Source organism: Homo sapiens, chromosome 12 (genome assembly GCF_000001405.40).
Source record: "Homo sapiens chromosome 12, GRCh38.p14 Primary Assembly".
In the NCBI taxonomy this organism is placed as follows: Eukaryota; Metazoa; Chordata; class Mammalia; order Primates; family Hominidae; genus Homo; species Homo sapiens.
This window is the reverse complement of record NC_000012.12, coordinates 74,851,991-74,871,191: the sequence shown is the minus strand read 5'-3', so window position 1 is coordinate 74,871,191 and position 19,201 is coordinate 74,851,991. Positions and strand designations below refer to the sequence as shown.

The 19,201-nt window shown below is 33.8% G+C and overlaps 1 long non-coding RNA gene across 6 annotated transcripts in view; it reads right to left on the bottom strand.

Moving 5' to 3' along the window:
* Window positions 1–19,201, bottom strand: part of LOC105369842 (uncharacterized) — an 86,958-nt gene that overhangs the window by 63,190 nt on the left and 4,567 nt on the right. Inside the window, exon 3 of one of the 6 annotated variants that reach the window (XR_001749208.2) lies at window positions 7,235–9,646. The exons of the other annotated variants lie outside the window; for them this stretch is intronic. This is a non-coding gene — a long non-coding RNA (uncharacterized LOC105369842). Of the gene's footprint in view, window positions 1–7,234; window positions 9,647–19,201 lie in introns of those variants that run through there. 6 annotated transcript variants of the gene reach the window in all.

The following is a 19,201-nucleotide window of genomic DNA, read 5'->3' as shown; positions in this document are numbered from 1 at the left end:
TAAAGAGTCAGCTAAGCCATAGTGCTAAGGTATTTACATATATCATCTTAAATTGATTCATAAAATTTTTTTCAGCTGAAATTAAATATTATTAGCTTGGGTAAATTTTTGCTGTAGAGAGAGGGTAAGGAGAGACGGCAGTAATTACTTGCTGTGTGACTGTAAGCTGATCATCTATCATAGGTATTTCACAATGCTTTTTTCTTTGATATTAAGAATTTGGAGTTGTGGATCTCTTCTACAGTTAATAGTTACGAGATTTAAAATCACACCTGGATTTGAGGCCCTGCTCATTCACTTACTATTGTGTAATATGAAGGATGTTAATTAAACTTATTAAACTTTAATTCCTTTTACTTCAAAATGGGAATATATGATATATCTCTCAGGACTGTTTTAAGGATTAAATGAGATACTGAACACAAAATCTCTCACATAGTGTCCAGCATGTAGTAGGGTCTCTGTATATGGAACCACGTCATTATGTTCTCTTTGACATCAATGTTCTCTTTTTATAAATGTTGTTTAAATTTTGCATTATCGGGACTACCAAGATTGAAGCAAACACCTATCTTAGGGTTGCTTTGCTCAGATTAACCTAAATAGAATCAGTAATCAAAATGATTCTTCTATCAGTATACATTGTTAATCATTGTAAATACATTTTATATTTGAATTTTTATAACAGTACTATGAAAGTTCATGAATATGTATGTAGAACTGTTTATATCATGCGGTCCCGTCACTTTGAAACACTGTAATTTGAAGAAGATTTGAGATTATAGGGACAAAATAATATTTAAGATGCAAAATTGATAGTTTGGTTAAGTAAATGCCAAATAATTTCTACTAAAATTGAAACAGCCAATTGCACTAAGAGGATCTATTTATTTTTCCAGAGGTAACATCCCTTTCCTCGCTCATTTTTAATCTATAATTTTAGACTTGTTTCTTGGTGATTGATGCAATGGATTCATGTAATGGACTAAGGCAAACTCTAGAAACTTCACCCACAGGGAATTTGTGTCTAACTGCATGTCATATATAAGCTTTTCCTAGAAAGATCCAATATACGAAGTTAAATATCTTACATTTCATAGTTTGAGGCTCCATTCTGAAATTTCTCTGGTAATGGCAGATCTAGTACATTTCAGATGAAAAGGCATTTGATAAGTGATATTAATAAAATGCAAAAGCTATTTTGCCAACCACAAATGCAAAATAATATGACAGACAGGCAAATTAAATATAATCCTAGTAGTTCATCATTGGATTTTCTTACGTGGTAAGATTCTCCAGTTTCTGAAGAATGTTGAAGTTCTTTCAAGGACCTGCAATAGCAGCCATTGTCAGTTTATTTATGGGCTCTCATTGTCAAGATGCCCACCTGGCTCCATGGATCACCTGATGCTGGCAAAGCTGCCTGGCTGGACATTTATATCATCTGGAGCTCAGGTGAATTTATCCTAAATCAGTGATATGTACACAGGCCACCTGCTATCTTCACAGTAGCTGATAATAGCATTTTAATTTTAATATTAGAAAATGAAAAGGCTACTGGATAGTTTTACTCTTGATGTCTTTTCATGTTCATGTAATGCTATTTAGGCATAATTTATTATGGGAAGACATTAACATTAAAAACATTTCTAGGGTTCACCTTGACAACTCCCCTCAGAAATATTGAGTTATAGAGTGACCACATATCCAGGTGGTCTTGGCCACCCAGTTTAGGTCTTTTGTCAGAGCAAAATTACTAAGTTTCCTTTTTCATCTCCACAGTGTCTTGGTTTGGACAATTAATCCTATAATCTCCTTTACAATGATTTTAAATATCAAAATTCTCTAGACCTGAAACTATAAGAATCCTAGAAGAAAACCTAGTAAAAAAAACTCTTCAGAACATTGATCTAGGAAAACAATTTATGACTAATTCTCAAAAGCAAATGCAGCAAAAAACAAAAATAAACAAATGTGACTTAATTAAATCAAAAAGCTTCTGCACAGCAAAAGAAAAAAATCAACAGGGTAAAAGACCACTTACAAAATAGGAAAAAAGTTTGCAAATTGCACATCCAACAAAAAACTAACATCCAGAATCTACAAGAAACTCAAACAACTCAAAAGTAAAGAAACAAATAACCCCATTAAAAAGTGGGCAAAGGACAGAAAAGACATTTCTTAAAAAAAGACATATAAGCGGCAACAAACATGAAAAAATGTTCAACATCACTCATCATTTGAGAAATGCAAAATAAAACCACAATAAGATAGCATTTTACACCAGTCAGAATGTCTATTACTAAGAAGACAAAAAAAAAATAACAGATGCTGGCGAGGATAAGGAGAAAAGGGAATGTTTATACGCTGTTTGTGGGAATGTTAATTATGGAAACCTGTATGGAAACTCTACAGAAAGCTGTATGGAGATTTCTCAAAGAACTAAAAATAGAACTACAATTTGATCCAGGAATTTCACTACTGTGTATCTACCCAAAGGAAAAAAAAATCCTTGTGTCAAAAAGTCACCTGTACTTGCTTGTTTATTGCGGCACTATTCACAATTGCAATGTCATGGAATAAACCTAAGTGTCCATCAACAAATGATTGGATCAAAAAGACACCTGTATTTGCTTGTTTGTTGCAGCACTAATCACAATTGCAAAGTCATGGAATCAACCTAAGTGTCCATCAACAGATGATTGGATAAAGAAAATGTGGTATATGGCCTGGCATGGTGTCTCATGCCTGTAATCCCAGCACTTTGGGAGACTGAGTCAGGAGGGTCTCTTGAGGCCAGGAGTTCGAGACCAGCCTGGGCAACATGGTGAAACTCCGACTCTACAAAAAAATACAAAAATTATTCAGATATGGTAGCATTTGCCTGTAGTTCCAGCTACTCAGGAGTCTGAGGTGGGAGGATAGCTGGAACCCAGGAGGCAGAGGTTGCAGTGAGTCGAAATCTGTCACTTCACTCCAGCCTGGATGATGGAGTGAGACCCTGTCTGAAGAAAATAAGAAAGAAAGAAAGAAAAAAGGAAAGAAAGAAGAAAAGAAAAGGAAAGAAATGTGGTATATATGCATCATGGAATACTATGCAGCCATAAAAAGAATGAAATCAGGTATTTTGCAGCAACATGGATGGAACTGGAGTGAAATAACTCAGAAACAAATCCACTATGTTTTCATTTATAAGTGGAAGCTGAACAATGGATACACATAGACATGCAGACAAAAAATAAAATAAACACTGAGGACTCCAAAAGTGGGGAGAGTGGTTGGAGGGTGAGGATTGAAAAATTACCTGTTGGGTACAATGTACACGATTTGGGTGATGGGTACACTAGAAGCCCAAGCTCCACCACTACACAATATAAATATCCATGTAACAAACCTGAACTTGTACCCCCTAAATCTACAAAAATAAAATAATAATAATTTTAAAAAATTCTACTCTTTTCTACGTTCAAGCACTAAATTCAGAATTAGATAAATAAGCTTCTGAAGTGTGGCTAAAACATAGTCTGATAACTGTAAACCAAAAAGTGACTCAGGCAGGTATCAATCGATTAGAGGCCGATTTAGCTAAGGTTAAGGACACACCTAGGAAAAAGAAACACAAATCACAGGAGGATCTGTGGCCTGTGCTTTTTCCAAAGAGAGTTTTGGAAACTTCAAAATTTAAAGGGGAAAGGGCAAGCAGGAGAGGGAGGATTTAAAAAGGGGAGTGAGGGTAGGCAGTGAGGCCAGTGTTTACATTCTTGTGAGGCTCTGATTAGTGCTCAGTGAATCTATATTTTACATGTGAAATAGGGAGGAGAGGAAAAAGCCAATTATGCACTCAGTACACGTACATTTTACATCAGATAAACATGCGAAAAGAGGGAATAGAGGAAAAAAAGTCATTTATGCATTCACTTCAAGGTAGGCAGAGGGATGAATTCTAGTCTTGTTCTTGTCCTATACCTGTGAGGATAACCCGGTAACTGACGTTGCTGGGTGATATTTAACAGAACTTGGTTTTAGTGCTAGCTTATCGGAAGGATAGGTATCCTGAATGATTTTGAGAACCACAAGAATTTCCTTGTGAGCAATTTGTGAAGGAGGCCACCCTGGGGAGATATGTAGCCTTCTAGCACTCTGGGAACCTGGCTTATGTATAAGGCTATGACACAGGGTTGTGAAATTGTAGCTATCTATTTGGGAAAAAAAGAGACACTTTTGTGTGACTCCATTCCCAAGCTTAACTGTCCCTTTGGTATAGTGAGTTTGAAGTGCCAAGGTTCTAATTTCTGACACATGATCTAGGAACAATCTTTCTCAATAACTTAGTAGATATTGATAGAGTCCGGTAGTAAAATAAATTGATTGAAATTTATGACCAATAAATGTTGAGGCAGGTGGAAGTAAAGAATCAATGAGACAATGTTAGAAGCTCCTGTTATCAATAAGTGGCTTATTGTCAAAAGAACCTATTGAGTGGCATAATGAAGAGAACTGAAATAGGAAGTTAAGAGGTCAGGGCCAGGTGCGGTGGCTCATGCCTGTAATCCCAGCATTTTGGGAGGCCAAGGCAGGTGGATCACCTGAGGTCAGGAGTTTGAGACGAGCCTGGCCAAGATGGTGAAACCCTGTCTCTACTAAAAATACCAAAAAAAAAACTCCATATATATATATATATATATATATAGCCAGGCATGGTGGCAGGCATCTGTAATCCCAGCTACTCAGGAGGCTGAGGCAAGAGAATCGCTTGAACCCAGGAGGTGGAGGTTGCAGTGAGCCAAGATCACGCCACTGCACTCCAGCCTGGGCAACTGAGCGAAACTCCATCTCAGAAAAAAAAAAAAAAAAAAAAAAGGTTAGGAGAGCACGGACTCCAATGAATGCGGCTGAATGAGTGGCAGGTAAGAAGGAAAATTTGTTCTGTTGTGAAAAACTTGGAGCTGTTTTGTTGAAAAAAAAATTGTATTAACAACTCTCATCAGTAACAGAAACAGAGAATAAGACTTTCAGGAAGAAACTTTTAGTAACACCAATAATTCCTTGTCAAAAATATCTTGGGCTTCCCATTTAAAAGCTATATCTCTGTTATGAAGATGGAAAGGTAATGTTTGAACCATCAACAAATCTTTTTTTTAAGAAAGCTCACTTAGCAATTTTTCTTGCTTTCTTATAAGAAGAATTGAATCATTTATAACTCTCAGAAAAAAATTAGTAAAATAGCATTCTGTTTAATATATATGGAAGACTAGAAAAAAATCAGTTTCTTGTAAATTTAGTCATTGTGAGGACATCCCTAAATTTAAGTTACCATGAGACATGATCACACTCTGCAGAATGCTTCATTTTATGATTTTTTGTTTTTTTACCTTTTATTTTAAATTCAGGGCTCTATGCGCAGGTTTGTTACATAGGTAAACTTGTGTCATGGAGTTTGTTGTACAGATCATTTCACCACCTAGGTATTCAGCCTAGTACCCATTAGTTATTTTTCCTGATCCTCTCTCACTTCCGTTATCATTTTCAAAAAATATTACTTACCCACTATCATGAAGTCAATAGGTGGCAAGTGAGATAAGTATATTTCCAAATGCATGTATGCAAATACTGAAATTTGAAAGGTATTACATTAGATATTCAAACCATAGACTAGGTCAGTAGTAATGTAGAGAGAGAGTAGAATATAGGTTTTCCAAATGCTTGCTTGTTACTCAGCATTTATCAGCTTCAACATTTTATTTATTTTATTTTATTTTTATTTTTTGGGACTGAGTCTCACTCTATCAGCCAGGCTGGAGTGTGGTGGCACAATCTAGGCTCACTGCAACCTTCACCTCCCAGGTTCAAGGGATTCTCCTGCCTCAGCCTCCCAAGTAGCTGGGATAACAGGTGTGCACCACTATGCCTGGCTAATTTTTGTATTTTCAGTAGAGACGGGGTTTTCCCATGTTGGCCAGGCTGATCTTGAACTCCTGACCTCAAGTGATCCAGCCACCTCGGCCTTCCAAAGTGCTGGGATTACAGGCATGAGCCACTGCGCCCGGCCAGCATACACATTTTAAAGCTGCAGATAAAATCATAGAAAAATTGTGTACTTACATAATTTCAGAGGAAACATAAAAGTATTCAAGCAAACCAGTATGATTTCATTAAAAATAAACACTATGGTTTTGTCTTGGTATTTACAAGGCAGTCAAAATCATTAACTTGAGATAACATTATTTTCAGTTGACATTAAACATCTTAGGCCTATTTTAGATAACATTTAAATACTAGACTTAGTTTAACATTTGGGAACATCTTTCAATGAATGAATATTTTTTCATCTTTGAGCACTCTTAAGTGTAACCTGATTTTTATTTTCTTTGCAAAGGTAATTATTCATGCAATAAAAATTCAAAAGGGGTGAAAAGAAAGGAAGTAAAACTAAGCATTCTCTCGCCTTAGCCCCCACAGAACCTAATTTTTCTCCCTAGAAGCATCCACCATTACTAGATTTTTTTGTAAATTCCTCTTCCAATTTATTGTTTGAGATTATGTACATACGCACACATATACAATTTTTATTTTTATTTTTTTATTTTTTTATTTTTTTATTTTTTTGAGATGGAGTCTCGCTCTTGTTGCCCAGGCTGGAGTGCAGTGGCGTGATCTCGGCTCACTGCAACTTCTGCCTCCCAGGTTCAAGCGATTCTCTTGCCTCAGCCTCCTGAGTAGCTGTGATTACAGGCGCCTGCCACCATGCCCTGCTAAGTTTTGTACTTTTAGTAGAGACGGGGTTTCGCCATGTTGGCCAGGCTGGTCTCCAACTCTTGACCTCAGGTGATCCGCCCACCTCGGCCTCCTAAAGTGCTAGGATTACAGGCGTGAGCCACCATGCTCGGCCAATTTTTATTGTTTTTACACAGAAAGTTATTATACATTGCATATTACTTTATCTGTTGCTTTTTAAAAAAATTTCTGGCCAGGCGCAGTGGTTCACGCCTGTAATCCCAGCACTTTGGGAGGCCGAGGTGGGCAGATCACAAGGTCAGGAGATCGAGACCATCCTGGCTAACACGGTGAAACCCCGTCTCCACTAAAAATACAAAAATTAGCCGGGCGTGGTGGCAGGCGCCTGTAGTCCCAGCTACTTGGGAGGCTGAGGCAGGAGAATGGCGTGAACCCCGGGGGTGGAGCTTGCAGTGAGCCAAGATCACGCCACTGCACTCCAGCCTGGGTGACAGAGCGAGACTCCGTCTCAAAAAAAAAGAAAAAAAAAGTTCTTACATAGAATAGCATTTTATTTTTTTATCACTTTAAATACAACTGCCATACTCTTTTTTAGTTGTGCATAGTATTCCACCAGAACATGATTGATAAGAAGCTGCCTCAGTTAATAAACATGTATATTATTTTCAATGCTGTCCTGAGTTTCCTGGCACACCTGTTATGTTGCTTGGATTTGCAGAAGCTAAATAACTGGCAGTAGAATATCTAGGTGAAAGGATATGTGAATTTAAAATTTTTATAAATATTGTAACTGCAATAGACAGTATTTCAGCTTATGTTTTCTTCAGGTGGGTGTAGACATAGAAAAAGTGCCTCTTTCCCCTACCGTTGCCCACAACATGTAGAATCAAAACTTTAGATCTTTGCCCATGAGGTAGGTTAAAACAATACATATTTGAGGTTAAAATTTACATTTTCCTTAGATTAATCTTGTCATTTTATTGTGTTTGAGATCCAATTTCTATGAAATGTCAATATGTCTTTCCCTGGAAAAAAGAGAATCCTAGAGCCTTCAATAGTTGTATTCCCCTTTGTCATTTATTGAATAATCATTTCCAACTTTCCCTGTGGGTAGATGGCTAAATTTTCACAGAAGGGATGCAAAGAGAAACGTGTGTGACCTCTCAGTTGTTTTTTGAAAAGGGATATCTCTTCTCACTGCCTTATCTTTTTGATACTGACTAATATTTGTACAACATGGAGGAAGACAGACCAGCTATTTTAAGCCTTGAATAGAAATCATATTTTTTGGAAGACCAGACAACAGTAGAAGGCCTGGCCTGCTTATACACACATGATTTTATGACACACACACACGAAACTAATTTTAAAAGCTGTCTTGTTTTAGCTATTGTTATTTTGACATTTGTTACAGAAGCTTCATCTATATCTTAACTAATATATAAAAATGATATTGAGTAATTGGTATTTTTCCTGTTGATTTGTAGATGCTACCACATGCAAAAAATGAGAGAATCATTCATGCAAAATGTTATTCTCCAATTTAGTGTTTGTTCTTTGACATTCTTCATAATTTTTTTCAAAGAAACTGATTGTTTTCTTTTTGGCTTTGTGTTGTCAAATTTATCATAAATGCTTCCTTAAAGGAATCTAGATTTTGAGTCATTCTAAAACAATTCTCCTCCCCACTGAATGCCACTGAATGCCTATTTATTGCTTAAAAATATTTTAAAAGTCATCTTGACATTTTCTTCACACTGCACTCAAAGATCAATGCTAGATGGATTACAGACAAAACTGATAAGTAAAACATAAAAGTTTTAGAAGAAAACATAGGAAAATAACTTTTGACAGTAAAGTATGAAATTTTTAATAAGAAATTAAAAGCACTAACCCAAAGTAAAAAAAAACAAACAAAATAAATTAGACACTATTAAGATTAAGGATTTCCATTCATCAGAAAAAGTGAGTAAAAGAGATAAGCACAAATCAGGAGAAGATATTTGCATATTTTTGGAAAGGTACTCATATACTTAATGTCTAAAGATCTAAAGAGCTTCTAAAAGTTAGTAAGATAAAGACAGACAACCCAACAAATAAATGGACAAAAGACATTAACAGTCACTTAAGAGAGAATTATCAAATGGGAAATAAGTGCATGAAAACATGCTCACCATCGTTACTCATCAAGGAAGTACAAATTAAAGCCACAGTGAGATACTATCATCCATCCATCAAAATATCTAATGTTTTAAAATACTGACAATATAAAAATGTAGGAGAGGATATTAAACAAATGAAATCCTCAAAAATTGCTTATAGGAATATAAACTGGAAAACAATTTGGCACTGCCACTGCTTCTAATGGGCCATCTTCAATATTTTATCTATTAAAGAGTTATTGTTAACACTAAATTTTAAAAGATGAGGAAACAGGTTATTTCACTACATTTTTCACTCTTCATTCCCCTTTAGTTATTTTTTGTAGTTATAGCACGTCTACATTTTCTGAGATTTTAACATATGCTTTCTCTTTAACATTTGCTTTACTCCTAGTTCTGTAGTACGGCCTACAGCATCACTCCCTGTTTTTTTCCTGGACTAGGCCTCGAGGACTAATGCTGGGTTGTAGCCAATAGAATGTGCCAGAGATATTTCAGTTTGATTTTTGTTTTTTAATGATTAGTATCTGTTTTGATTAGCCACAAAATCTGTTCCAATTGGTTAATTCCTGAGGCGTTCTTTTTATTAAATATTTTCAAAATAATCCCAGCCAATGACCTTGTCCAGCCTTTATTACTTAGGGTAATTCTTCCCTGCATTATATAGTTTGGAATCATGGATTTCACGGTCGTCTGAAATGGTAGTTATGTTTTTGTCATTCATTCTTCTTCTTGTTCTTGGACAATTCCTGAGATAAGAGGAGAAAAATTCAAAACATTATATAATCCATCACGTTTCAATCAGAATTCCTAGATATGATTTCATGAAATTTATTTCTAGATAAGACAAAAATGGAAATGGTTTTATTCTCCCTGTGTTTTACAGTCTATAAAAGTCAATGTTGGTAATATATTAACTATTTTCCCATATAACCAGAGACAGTTGTATGGGAAATACAGTACATGCAATTTAATACAATTGTGCAGTAATAAGATTCAATTCAGTAACTAAATAAAATACCCCTTTTCAACCTCTACTAAGATGCATATCTTTCAAACTTCCAAAAAGATAAAGGCTATGCTCATTATCACTATCCTATGCTATTCCTGATCACTTCAGCCAAGTTGGTGTCCCTTCCTCTGAATTTTATTCATACTTGCCTTTACTACCCATTTGTAACTTTATTATTTTGGCTAGAAATCAGTTTACTTGCTCAATCTTTTTTTTTTTTTGTCTTTCAAAAAGTTCAGGGGAAAAAGTTACTCCCATAAAAGAGTTGAGAGTTGGCTTAAGGAACCTGCCCTGTGTAAGCTGATGAGGAATAAACATTTTACATGCATTTCTTGTGATGGCAGTATAAAGTGACAAACAATTACTTCTTATTCTATTAGTATTAATGTGGAGGAGGAGAAAATAGTTACTCTGCCTTGCACTGCACCTTGCTAGGTTCCAGAACCTGTCTTTCCATGGGATTTCCCTTACAAAAGGTGAGAAATGGGAAGTGGGGCAAGGTGGCTATTCCCAGCCATGAGGGCAGTGGAGGAGAGAGACACTCAAAAAGAGGTAGTAGAAATGAGGCATGACTGAGGTCCAAGTTTCAGGGATTGTTTCTCAGAGACTACATTTACTGTATTAATGTAATTTTCTGATAATTAAATAAGGAAATAACCATAATCCTTTGACCCTTTTTTGTGCCTATAGATGCTATACAAAGAATAGACCTGTTGAATTATGAAGTAAATTTTATTCATACGTTTGTAAATAAATTGCTTGAAACACTTTTCTGTGTTAACATAGATGGCAGTATTTAATGAATATTGCCAATTTCTGAAATTCATGTGAGAATTCATTTCTGATTCATTTTAAAACATCATAAACATATGTGTATTTATTACAAATGTTAATCAATTGTTTTACACCACTCACTGTAGTAATTAAAAATTTGATAAAACCTACCCAAGCTTTATCATTTGAAAATTAAATTATTCTGACTCTATTAAATAAAATTTATTGTGCATTGTGGTCAAATTAGAATTTTCTTAGTAATGCTAATATCAGAAATTATCAGTCAAATATTACTAAATTAATTATTAGGAGCCTCATTTAACACATTTTATAACATCTAAAATCTACCAATACATCTGAAAAATGGAGAAAAATTATAAACAAAAATAAATAGAACATTTTCTGTAATCATATTTAATAGCTACATTGTTTACATTTTATTGTATCTACATTTGTGATACTAGAGATTAGTATTAGATATTAATATCTAGAATACTAGATATTAGTATTAGATATTAATATCTAGAATACTAGATATTAGAAATATCCCATACATCTAGTTTTAATTGAAGTATAGTTCATTTGAAGCATAGTCTCAATAATTTGAACTTGAACATTTAACTACAAGCATAGTCAGTTTCAGAATTCATTCTTTGTAGACAGTCTATAAATACAAATATATCTCCCTCTGTCTGGCGCGGTGGATCATGCCTGTAATCCCAGCACTTTGGGAGGCTGAGGCGGGTGGATCACTTGAGGTCAGGAGTTTGAGACCAGCCTGGCCAACATGTTGAAACTCCATATCTACTAAAAATACAGAAATTAGCTGAGCACAGTGGTGCGTGCCTGTAATCCCAGCTACTTGGGAGGCTGAGGCACGAGAATTGCTTGAACCAAGGAGGCAGAGGTTTCAGTGAGCTGAGATCACACCACTGCACTCCAGCCTGGGCGACAGAGTGAGATTTTGTCTCAAAAAAATGTGTACATATATATATATATATATATATATATATATATATATATATCCCTCAAATTTAGCAAAAATCGTACATTAAAAAATGCCAATATCTGCCACTTCAGAGTCTAATGGTTGACTCTTCACTGCTACTGTCATTGTCCATTCCATGCATACTACCCAGTGGACTGAGGACCTGCCCACTTACCTAGCCCATCACTGTTACTACTAACAACTAAGTAATCTGCCTGGAGGCCCAATAATTGGCCCGTTTGAACCCACTAACAGTCATGTCTGCATACACCACCAGGAAGTCCAAGGACAGACACATTCAGCCCAGTACTGCTACCACTGGGGTCTAGGGACTGGTATCCTTGTCTGTGGCAAAGCCTCACCACAGCCTCCATTAACAACCACAGCCTATGTCACTAAGGGAATCACAGACAAAGCTGATATTTTTTACAGCTAAAGAACTCATATGGAGACTATGCTACTGCATGAACCCAGAATTAAAGCTGGTATGTTCTTCCTTGTTAACCAACACAATAGATATATCTTCAGGAAGATGTCTTTCCCCATATAAGCCAGTCCAATAAATTGGAAGTGACTATTAAACCAGTGCACGGATATTAATAAGAGAGCACAAGAAACCTGAAAAAATACTATATGATACGTCCAAAGAAACATAATTATTCCCCAGTAACAGATGTCAATTTAAAAAAGCTTATAAAAGGCTGAAAAAATTCAAAAAATGGTATTAAAATTCAGCAATTAAAGAATCTCAGTGAGATGCAGGAGAACTCAGATAAACAATACTAAATAATCAGAAAAACAATTCAAGATGTGAGTGAGAAGTTCACCACAAAAATAGATATTTTAAAAAGACACAAATCTTAGAACCAAATAATTCAATGAATAAAATAAAAACTTTATTTGAGAGCTTCAGTGATAAACTAGAGAAAAAAAAAGTGTCCCAAAACTTGAAGACTGATCTTTAAAAATAGCCCCAAAATAAAAACCGTCAGACCAAAAATAATAAATAAATAAAACAATAAAAAAAACCTTACTTGACATGTGGGATATGATAAAGTGACCAAATATACAAATATTGAGTGTTGAAAACAGGAAGATGAGACCAAATCATAGAAAACCTATTTAACACAATAGTTTTATAAACCTAAGCATAATAGGTTTATAAGCCTAAATAAATAATAGCTGGAAAGTTCCAAAATTTAGCAAGAGATTTAGACATCCAGATATAGGAAGTTTAGAGAAATCCAAACAAATGCAACCTAGTAAGTTTTTCTCCATGACACATTACAGTAAAACTATCAAAAGTCAAAGACAAAGATAGAATTCTAATAAAAACAAGAGAATAATATCTAGTCACATATAATGGATCCCCCATTATAGCCAGAAAACAATCAACAAATTACAAGAGTAAGTCCTCACATATCAATAATAACCTTGAATGTAAATTGATTAAATTTTCCACTGACAAAATGTAGACTACCTGAATGGATTATTAAAATGACCCAATTATATGCTGCCTACAAGAAACTCACTTCACCTGTAAAGACACATATCAACTCAAAGTAAAAGGGTTGAAAAAGGTAGACTGTCTATCGTGGGAATTCACCTTGTCATTATGTGAGCCAATTCTCCCTAATAAACTTATATAGATAGATAGATTAGATAGATAGATAGACAGATATGTATCTCCAATTGGTTCTGTCCTTCTGGAGAACACTGACTAATACATAAACTAATGAATCAGACTAGAGAATCCGAAAATGAATTCACGAATTTACCACCAATTGATTTTCAACGAAGTTCCAAAAATATATATTTAGAAATGGACACCCTCTTCAATAAATGGTACCAAGAAAACTGGATATCCATATGCAGAAAAATGAAACTAGACCCGTATCTCTCACTATACACAAAAATAAACTCAAAATAGATTAAAGGCCTAAACATAAGACCCAAAACTATAAAACTAATGGAATAAAACAGAAGAAACACTATAAGATATTGGCCTAGGCAAAGATTTTATGGCTAAGACCCCAAAAGGACAGACAACAGAAACAAAACTGAATACATAGGACTATATTAAACTGTGAGGCTCTGCAGAGTAAAATAAACAATCAAAAGAATGAAGAGACAACTTATTGAATGGGAAAATACTTGCAAACTATTCATCTGACAAATGAATAATATTCAGAATATAAGAGGAACTTAAACAACTCAACAGCAATAAAACTATAATCCAATTTAAAAATGGGCAAAAAATATCTATAGACATTTTCCAAAAGAAGACATACAAATAACCAACAAGTATATGGAAAAAATGCTCAATATCACAGATCATCAGAGAAACACAAATCAAGACCACCATGAGATACTATCTTATCATAGTTAGAATAGCCATTATTAAAAAGGCAAAAGAAAATAGATGCTGGGAATGATGTGAAGAAAAGGGAACTCTTATACACAGTTGCTGTGGGATATGGTTCGGCTGTGTCCTTACTGGAATCTCATCTTGAATTGCAGTTCCCATAATCCCCACGTGTTATGGGAGGACGAGGTGGGAGGTAATTGAATCATGAGGGCTGTTACCACCATGCTGCTCTTCTCCTGATAGTGAGTGAATTCTCACGAGATCTGATGGTTTTATAAGGGGCTTTTCCCCCTTTTGCTCGGCACTTCTCCTCGCTGTTGCCATATGAAGAAAGACGTGTTAAGTTCCCCTTCTACTATGATTGTAAGTTCCCTGAGACCTCTTCAGCCATGCTGAACTGTGAGTCAATTAAACCTCTTTGCTTTATAAATTACCCAGTCTCAGGTATGTCTTTATTAGTAGTGTGCGAATGGACTAATACAATGGGGTAGGGAGATTTCTGAAAAAACTAAAAATAGAACTACCATACAATCCAGCAGTGCCTCTACTGGGTATCTATCCAAAGGAAAATACATCAGTGTATCAAAGGCATATCGGCACCCCCGTGTTTATGAAGCATTATTGACAATGGCAAAGATAAGGAATCAATCTAAGTGTCCATCGACAGATGAATGGATAAAGAAAATGTGGTATATATGCACAACGGAATGCTACTAGGTCCTAAAAAGAATAAAAACCTGTCATTTGCAGCAGCATGGATAGAATTGGAGGCCATTATGTTAAGCCAAACACAGAAAGAAAAATATTGGGTCTTCTCATTCATATGTAGGAGCTAAAAAAAAATGATCTCATGGAGGTAGGGTGGAGTGATAGTTACCTGAGGATAGGAAGATTGTGTGTGGGGGAGGCAAGAAGGAGTGATGAAGAGAGGTTGGCTAATTGATACAGACATAGAGTTAAATAGAAAAAAGTACATTCCAATATTAAATAGAAGACTAGGATGATTGTTGTTAATAAAACTTGAATATTGTATATTTCATAATAGCTAGAAGAAAGGATTGAAATGTTCCCAACACATAAATATGATAAATACTCAAGGTGATATATACCCTAAATACCTTGACTTGATCATTACACATTCTATACATGTAACAAAATATCATTTGTACCCCCATAAGTATGTAGGATTATTATAGATCAATACAATTTTTTTAAAAATGTCACCTAAATTTTTAAATGTCATGTTTAAACATTTTCAGTTAGAAAGTTTAATAAGATTAATAATGATGAGGAGCATGGTTGATTGCTTTATCAAAATCCACTTGATTCGATAAAGTTTTGAACTCTATTCTGTTTTACAAAATGAAGGGAAGCTAAAGTAATCCACGCACTTCCTTCAACATTCTGGGTTACCAATAATTCAGTCCTCAGTATCTCCTGGTAACAATAAATTCAGGAGGACAAATATCACTTTCCTTCCTTCAATGTTTTGTACATTTGCTTTGTTTCTCACACTTTCAAAACCATTTTTTTAATCCTTTCCAAAACATGCTGACCTAATAAAGTTACTTCTTACTCAGTGAGAATATTAAAACTATTACGTGAGAAAAAAACGTCTTCCAAAAAAGCAATCAGCAAAACCTGTTTAAAATAATGATACGGTCTTCCTTTGCTCTTGCTACATACAGTTCATTAACTGTCATTTCTTCTCCAGTAAATGCAGGCACCCTATGCATACACTAGATGCTATTCATCTTGTTTACTGTAGAATTTTGTTCCAACAATTATCTGCTTCTTCTCATATACCATTCATTTTGTTTTTCCCTCTGTTGGATCCTTCCCATCAACATACACATAGATTGAATTCAATTTCTTCTTTATTATACACAGAAACCAAATAAACAAACAAAAAAAAATTGACTACATCTTCATTCCGATTTTTATTTTTGTTTTTCATTCCTGATAGTAGACATCCACCCATGAACGAAATAGAAAAACTTGTTCTCAGATACTTTACATTTTACTAAAATAATAGGATATTAAATAACTTCTTTGGTTTAGAAAATAAACAGCATTTATAATTATAGACTCTAAGTAGACACTTCAACAAAATGATTATAATTAACAACTAATTGGATGCCAAGAACTATGTTAAAAATTTGAATGTTTGTTAATGTATGGAGTCTTTCATTTTGAATATCTTAAATGTCAGTACCAATCATTATTGTTAAGTTTATCCTGGACTATTCTGCATTGATAATTAAGAAAGCTGAAGTGAGATGTCCATGAAGGTGCTTTTGTAAATGAAAAAAATAATAAATTCTGTAGTTACTTTGGTTTTAAAGGTAAATATACAATTTGTTATATTTATAAAAGCAAAATGATTCTGGTTTATCTTTCAAGTTATACTTAACAGCTTTAAAAATTTTGTTTATAAACATAGAAAAATCTAATAGTGACTTCTAATGTAGCTTCTAAAGATTAATTACATTATCCAAAAGTTTAATACCGAACAAATTTTAAAATTTGCCTTTTTGCCATACTTTTATATTCTACCAAAAAAGAATTGAATGCCTTAATATCATAACTTGGAAAAATCAATTAAATTTATTAATATAGTCAATATATAATTGAATTAAATGTTTAAGTATTATTAATTTAGTAAGATTGTGTTTTAAAATCACGTATAAAATTAATTACATAATTACATATTTTAAATTAAAATCTAATAATTTTTCTGATGGGGAAATATTCATTAAATAGGTTATTTACATATAAAATATATGAGTTACTTATTATGGTATCAAAATATTCATTTTGTGTGTTTATTTATCTTAAAAGCCCTTTATGAACTTTTAAATCTTCCCTAATTTAAAAGTTAATAATCAATATTTACTTCTATTACTGATAGTCCATGTTAATCAAATAAGTTATATAAGTATACCTAGAACAACTGAAAAAGCTGCACCTAATATAAAAATCTGCTTTAATGCATCAGAGAACCAGCAAAATAGGGAGAAATGACCAAGCCCCAATCCATAAGAAACAGAATCCAGAGAGCTGAGCCTGTTCTTTGGAGACACATGCTGTCTGTACATATCTGCTCATTGCAGGTTTTGCAGCTGACAGAAGAGTAGCATTTCTGAGATCAAAGTGAGAATCTAGGGCCCACTTGGACATTTTCAGGACACAAAAACAATTTACAGTCTGATCATATACTGAAGCATAAAGCAGATTTCAACTTACTTAAGAAGATTAATATCAGAATGCATTCTCTGAACATACACAATAAAGGTAGAAATCAATAACAAAAGCACGCAGTCAATTCTTGTTATGCATGGTAGTTATGTTCTGTAAAGTTTCAGTGAACACTTAATTAGTGAATACTGAACCATTGCTCCTAGGGAAAATATTATACAAGGTTAGCTTCCCGTAAGCCTCTGCTTATAACATTTTATTAATCAATAAATACATAACCTTATTTTATGTGCATTTCTGTTTAAAGATACTTTATTAAGTATATATTGTTGATTCATTAACATTGAACTCATGGCCAAAAGTACTATAATTTATGCCTGAATGAAGCTTATGTAACAAGCGTATCTTCTCAGTAAGACCCATGATGTCTTCTTGTACTTAGAAATACTAGACAATATGTCAGCATTATGCTTGGTGTACATCTTAAATAGTGAAATGACCAGCAAAACCAACAATAATGTACAAAGAATTTCGCTAAAAAAAGTTGCAATGGGACACTTGTTTATAGTGTGAGAGCCAAAACAAGAAGGCGGATGTCCCCTTGTTTAACCTCAGTTGAGAATAGGTATCATTCAAATGTTTTTCCTTTCTCTATGCGTTCACAAATGACAGCAAAAGCACCCCAAGTGTTGCTTTGGGGGTTACAAATAAACTGTAGTGAATAGGTGAATGTGAAAATATGGAATCCCTGAATAGTGAGAATCAACTATAATTTAAGCATTCAACATACTGGGAAATTAAAAACATATTCCAAATTTATGAGTCATAGAATATTTCAAAATGGAAAATAAAATAATTTTGAACTGTAATAAAATAATATTGGTATATCGAAGTGTGGAAATGCAGGAAACTAAAGCAAGCTTAAGGAGAAATGTGTTTGCTTATATTTACATATTAGAAGAAATAATAATAAGCTAAGTAGTAATCTCAATACATTTTTTAAAAACCCAAAATAATCCCAAAGAAATTAGAGAGATAAAATAACATGTGCAAGAATAAGTATAAGTGAACAGAAAACTAATATAAAATAGAAAAGGTAAATAAAGTTAACATTTTGTTCTTTGAAAAAAATTAAGAATAAACACTTGCTAATACTGATCAAGATAAAAAATAAGAAGATACAGAATAATGTTTATTCATTTTAAAAGTAAAATAGTTTTTTAGCAACCCATGTCACAAATAAAAATAGAGTATTACTATAGATCCTGGGAATATTACACAGATATGAGAATATTATAAAATGTATATAAGTTTTTGCTATTAAGATAAAACAGACAAATTCCCAGGAAAATACCACCTACCCAAAGTGATCTAAAATCAAAGATAAATTCTAAATAATCCTATAACCACTAAAATAATTAAACTGATAATTAAAAATCTACAAGCCCAGATGGCTTCACAAGACAATTTTGCCAAACTTATAAACAGGAAATAATACTAAACACAAACAAATTCTTTCAAAGAATGGTCATTGAAGCATTCAACTTACCTATGAGACCAGTATATCAAAATCAATTAATAACATTACCTTTAAAAAATTGCAGTTTAATCTCATTTACGAGCACAGGTACTAAATGCTAAACGTAATACTAGAAAATCAAAACCACCAATATAAACAATGGGCAGCATATTATGCTGAATTTTGCTTAGTTCCAAAAATATAAAGATACATTCAATATTGGAACAATTGTCATGTTCTTTGCCACATTAAAGTAATAAATGGCAGCAATTGTATGTTTATTTCAGATATACAGAGGAGCACTTGACATAATTCAACATCAATAAAAGATAAAAACTCTAAGCAAATAAATAATAAACGGGAATTTTTTTATTTGATAATAGTATCCACAAAAATTTATAGAAAATATCACAACTAATGATTAACTTTCAGAGCCATCGCCCTG